Source organism: Homo sapiens, chromosome 8 (genome assembly GCF_000001405.40).
Source record: "Homo sapiens chromosome 8, GRCh38.p14 Primary Assembly".
Lineage (NCBI taxonomy): Eukaryota > Metazoa > Chordata > Mammalia > Primates > Hominidae > Homo > Homo sapiens.
This window is the reverse complement of record NC_000008.11, coordinates 49,128,890-49,134,671: the sequence shown is the minus strand read 5'-3', so window position 1 is coordinate 49,134,671 and position 5,782 is coordinate 49,128,890. Positions and strand designations below refer to the sequence as shown.

The 5,782-nt window shown below is 37.3% G+C and overlaps 1 annotated feature.

Moving 5' to 3' along the window:
* Window positions 4,376-5,575: an enhancer, noted in NCBI's record as "BRD4-independent group 4 enhancer chr8:50041656-50042855 (GRCh37/hg19 assembly coordinates)". NCBI's record gives its function as "activates an origin of replication core promoter dependent on BRD2, P300/CBP, MED14 and CDK7 cofactors, and independent of BRD4, by STARR-seq in HCT116 cells {active_cell/tissue: HCT116}" and the evidence as "EXISTENCE:reporter gene assay evidence [ECO:0000049][PMID:35650434]".

Below are 5,782 nucleotides of genomic sequence, written 5' to 3'. Positions count from 1 at the left end.
CTGAGATTGTGGCACTCCAACCTTGGGGAACAGAGCAAGATTTCATCTCAAAAAAAAAAAAAAAAGAAAGAAAATTAATTCATGTTGGCTAAAGTGTACCAATTGAATTCCAAAGCCATTTGGAATTATTTCTTATTTAATTTCACATAATTTTAATTTGACAGATAACTACCTCACTAGAACAAATAAAGGCATTGCAAAGATATACATAAATATGGTGGTAAATTAGTGGGTGCCTTAATAGAAATGCATTCTAAGAGCAGGATAAAGAATGTTATTAAAAGAGTGAGGTTCATTTATAGGTGTCTCAGCAAAAGTGATCCATTATAATTTAGTTAGCAAGTTTGACAGAGCAATGTTATTTTGATATATGAAACAAATCTTCAAAGAATGTTAAAATTATTATTTGATCTTTGCCTTTACAAAATGTCTTCTTATTTTAACTTACTTAGAATAATGTTAACATCTTTTCAAGAAGTACAGCGTCATTAAATACTAGAAAGGAAGATGATGATAATGATGAGTAACAGTTCAGCATCTTAGACCAAGTGTCACTGTATAATCTCACAATGGTCGGTGTTGTTGGTTGCTACTATTTCCTCTCTCTACTGTCAACATACAACATTATGCAGTGTCATAAAAGAAGATTCCCGAGCTTAACCCTAAGTATACTTGTGGGAATCTCTGGTACCGAGATCCTGGAATACCCTCTGTTAGCAAGCAGTCCTCTGTGGAATCTTGTGTACTTTAAGGTGTGTGTGCTCCAGCTCTGACTTTTGCACTAGAAATCATGTAAAATACTGAGTTAGGGGCCGGGCACAGTGGTGCACACCTGTAATCCCAGCATTTTGGGAGGCCGAGGTGAGCAGATCACCTGAGGTGAGGACTTGGAGACCAGCCTGGCAAATGTGGTGAAACCCCGTCTCTACTAAAAATACAAAAATTAGTCGGATGTGGTGGCGGGCACCTGTAATCCCAGCTACTCAGGAGGCTGAGGCAGGAGAACTGCTTGAGCTTGGGAGGCGGAGCTTGCAGTGAGCCGAGATTGCGCCACTGCACTCTAGCCTGGGCGACAGAGCAAGACTCCGTCTCAAAAAAAAAAAAAAAAAAAAAAAGTTAGGAGTTCAACTCCAAATTCAAATTGCTCTAGAATTTATTAATTTCAACCTTGTATGCTGGTTCCTTCATGTTTCTTATTTAACTCCTCCCTTAGAAACCTATTTTATTCTTCATTTACTGGATCTGTTCTCTTCCCTTAACGTTATGCCCTCGTATCTAGTCGATCCTGACTTTTTATAATGTACCCCATTTATTTGGGTCTACAATCCTTCCTCCTTATCCCCCTCCTTCATTCTACTCCTTCCGAAAACAAGGGCTGCAAGCACACCCTGGGTTCCTCTATACTGCTGGCTTCTGCTTCAAGTCCCTCCTGCTGTGTGGCTGCCTTAGTGCAGCGATCTACCCTAGAGCTGCCATGTGCCACTGGATATAGTGAAGAATAGAAGAGACACTGCAGATTACAAAGTGACCTCTGCCTTTTACCACATGAAAAAAGTAGACCAGAAAAGTTAATTGATTGCAAGATCCCAATAAATATTAATAGAACACAGCTCCTGCCAAATACTCCAGGCCCGAACACATGCAGTCACAGTCTCTGGCCACAGCTTTGATCTTTTCCAGCAATGCCACCACCCAGAAGATCATGTCTGCTGCATATTTGGCAGGACACAAACTCCAGATGCCAACACAACTTTTTAGCTTGAGCATATTCTGTCAGTCATTTTTAAAAGATTGAACACAGCTAAAATAGAAGCCATTATCAATGTTTGATAAAATATCTAGAGTTTCAGAAGGCAAACAAATCAGAGAATACAACAGAAACTGAAGTAAAACTCTGTAGACTATTAAACGTTAATGCCAAACCAGTATCTTGAAGAATTTTGACAGTAGCACATATTTACATTTCAACATTCATTTTAACTACATGCTTGCTTTTAAATAAATGATTCCATGTGTGCCATGCATAGCAGAACTACTGATCAAATTAATAATTATTCCAAGATCCGTTACCAAAGAAAGCTATTTGTGTGTAAACTGTTGGAAAAGTTCTTACAAGCCAGTTAACGTAGCATTTGTTCAATTATAGTAAAGTCAAAAAGTCAGATTTCACCCCACCATGTTCCTCTGTCTAGATGTTGAGGCTGGACAGTGGTATTATAAACCATTTGGGCCTCTAGATTCGAGGAAGAGGGATGAGAGGCAGTGACTAAAGAAGAAGAGGACATAGAATAACCCAAAAAAGAAGTTAGGCTGCTTCATAATTAAAGGAAAAAAAACTTAACTTTCTTAGCTTCCACCGGATCTTTGTAAAATTAAATATTCCAACCAGGCAAAGATGGTTTAAATAGTTGGCAAAGCAAAGTTACAAGTCATGTTTCTTATACACGCAAATGGTTTAGGCCCTTGGCCGGGAACAAAAGAGCGTAGCAAAAGCTATACTGACTTACATTTATTTTTCATATTTTGAGGTGGAATATCAGCAGATTATCCATTCAAGAAAAATGTTTTCCTTTAATATGTGTGTAAACTGGCCTGTGCCTGAGAATTAGCAATGAGACTTAGAATGGTATGTGAATAGATGCATTTCCTCCAAGAGTTACCTGCTAGAAACCAGGTAACTTGTCACTCTCCCTGAGTGTAGAGAGACCCCGAGGTGACCTTGCTTGGGATGTCAACTGCCTTGTTCCAAAGAATTTTGAAAATCTGCCTGTGCAGAGGATCTAATCTTGTGAAGTTCTCTGTGCAAGCAGAGGGATGGAACCTATGATAAGAGCTGTGAGGAATGAGGACAAGGGGGTAATTTAAAGAATGGTTTCTCTCAGAGAAAGAAGAAGGACTAGCCTTTAAATGGGCAAGGAAGATTGAAATTGAGAGACAACATGGGCTCTAAAATGAAAGGCTTAACTTTTTTCCCTTTTACTTTGGAATATGGGAATATTTATTATTGAAATCCAGTTTTTAGCTTTGTTTTTATTTTATTTTTATTTTGTTTATTTATCTATTTTCTCCAAGATCCCAGTGAAAATTAACCTTACACAGCTTTTATGTTAATGGCAGTGGGAAAGCTAAAGAAAGAGGTAATAAAGAGTTATGATTTTCTCTGTCACTCCTAAACAGAGGCAGAATGCAAGTAGGTGACCAAAAAGCTGGAGTAGAGAAACAGAAAATGACATTAAATAGATGAGGAAGGTACTGATGCATGAGTCACATTAGAAGGTGGGTATGCTTTTAAAAATCATATATAAAGTATAGAATCCAAAGGGATACAAATCCTAGACTTGACAAAACTCTGTTCACTCTAGAAATCTATATTTTAAACATAGTATGAGATCTACAACTCAGCAGAGAGTTGGTAACTCTCATTTTCAAAGCTAGCCTTTTCAGAGACTCTATGGAGTGTGGCAGTCTAACTTTCTATCATGACATTTGTTTAGGCTCCGTGGCATTCTCTCCCAGGCCCACATTGTTGCTAGACTTTTTCTCCTGTTCTATCTGGCTTCCCTTTTCTTGAGAACACTTGCCCAATAAATAACTTGAAAATATTTTTCCAATCTAACTCTACTTCTAGGGTAACTGACCTAAGACATAAACCAAGTTTTGGGTTGTTTCTTTTTTACTCTTCCCAAAAGACTTCCTGAATTTCTCACTTATCTATTAGCCAAATATATGTCCTTTGATTATTTTTACATAGACCATTTTCACAATAGGAAGAGTTTCCAGTGAAGAATAACATCAGGCTCATATTAGAGTCCTAAAGTAAAAGCTTTGTTAATGAATGATTAGTGTTACACTTTTCTAAGACACTTGCTCTCAGTTTTATTAGGAGTAGAATCTCATTACACCAAGATCAGAGGGACTAGATAGTTAGATAGCAAATACACCCACACATTCCCATCCCTGGCGTCTATGACACAGCATTTTCTCTGGTAGCATCTTTTGCACATTGTCACAAAATTGCTTCACTCCTAATTCTACATTGTCTTCTTTTAAGTAAAATCACATGTAGAAGAATTTACAAGATAAGCTAGAATTTGTCTTTGGAACACTCACATGTATTAGTTTATTAACCTTGGTAGTTGGTACTTGGAATAAGAGCTCCTGGAAGGCAAAGACTGTCTCATCATTTTCTCTATCTCAGAATCTAATACAATGTATGTCATTTAATAGATCATTACCAAAAATCTCAAGTCACGAAGGAAAAAGGTAATGGAAGTAGAAAAAAGAAAGAGGAAAGATAATTTATGAGAATTCTGATGAAAGAGCATGCCACTTTCAAGGGTATTTTCAAGGAAAAACAGGCCTGGCTGGGCTACAATGAGCAGAGTGCCTAAAAGAGATGAAAACTTTCCAAGAAAACTTCAAACTGTGATAGAGTCTTTTGCAAGGGCAAGGGGATTCTGAGCACATCCTCTCAGTAACTATATCCCCACTACTGACCATGGAATCTAGAACGCCAGTAGAGGAAATAAACAATTTATTGAGTATATAAACACATAATATTTTACCAGTTTAACAACCCAGTGCAATTTCATATAATAGCTATCAGTTTTATTTAGTAGCTACTGATCATGTTCAATTTCTCAAGGGTTTTGAAATCCAGAAGTTCCCAATGACGTAATTATGTCATACGACTAGACTTGGAGGCTCGCCAATAATCTGATGACACCATCATTTCTATTTTTACCTGTGTTGCTTCCAAAAATGTCTGATTCGTGCGCACTGAGTGACGCCAGCCTGGCTTTGTTTCTCTTCTCTTCTCCTCTCTCACTCTCTCTCTCACACGCACAGACACATGCACACACACACACACACACACGCACAAAACCAGAGCTTGAAAAATTTTAGATGATGTTTCCAAAAGTGTTTCATGGCATGACTTTTATCTCTGTGTATTCATTCAAGTCCAGGGTCTGGTTCTTAAACTTCCCCTTTGAAAAACTGAATTTGTCAGCAAGAGGATGAATGTATTATATACCTCTTGAAAAAACTCAACCAGTTTATAGCGACTTTGCAGAAAATGAAGCTACCCACTTTCATTTAGAATAAGAAATATAATTGTAATATAACTGCAATTTGGATTATTCTGGTTTACTAAACTTCTCAAATCATAAGCAAATATCCATAAAATCCACCAATTCATGATATAGGCTTCCAAAAGAGCCACTCTAAAACAATGTTAAATAGGCATGGAATGCTATTAAAAACACTAGATATCATGATTCTCAAAAGAAATACATTGCATATATTAATATATGCAATATCATTTTCCAATATTTTGTCAATGTAAATGCAGCCAAGTTTTAGGGGAAAAAAATGTTCCTTCTTTTTTCTTTCCAAAATAGGATATTTGGCTGGAATGTGCCTTCTCAGGTAATAATCTCCCCTCTTTAAATCTGTAATGTCTCTGGTTTATTCCTATAGCTTTAATTCATACTTGTTGAGCAAAAATTTATCAGGTGATCTCATTTTTGTACTTTATACAGAAAAATTAACAAGGGAGAGAGGTTTGGGGGACAACTAGGCAAGAAAGGACCAGTAACAAAGGGCTTGGCCAATAAAGCACAGCAGGTCAGCTTTTCCTCTATGAGCAATGGGGAGCCACAGAAGATTTTAATAAGCAGTGAGAGGACTAGGCCCTTCATGCATTTTAAAAGATGACCCTATCTTTTAAGATTTATCTAGAAAAGAGTCATGATCAGAGAGCAGAAGCCTGTTGGGAAGT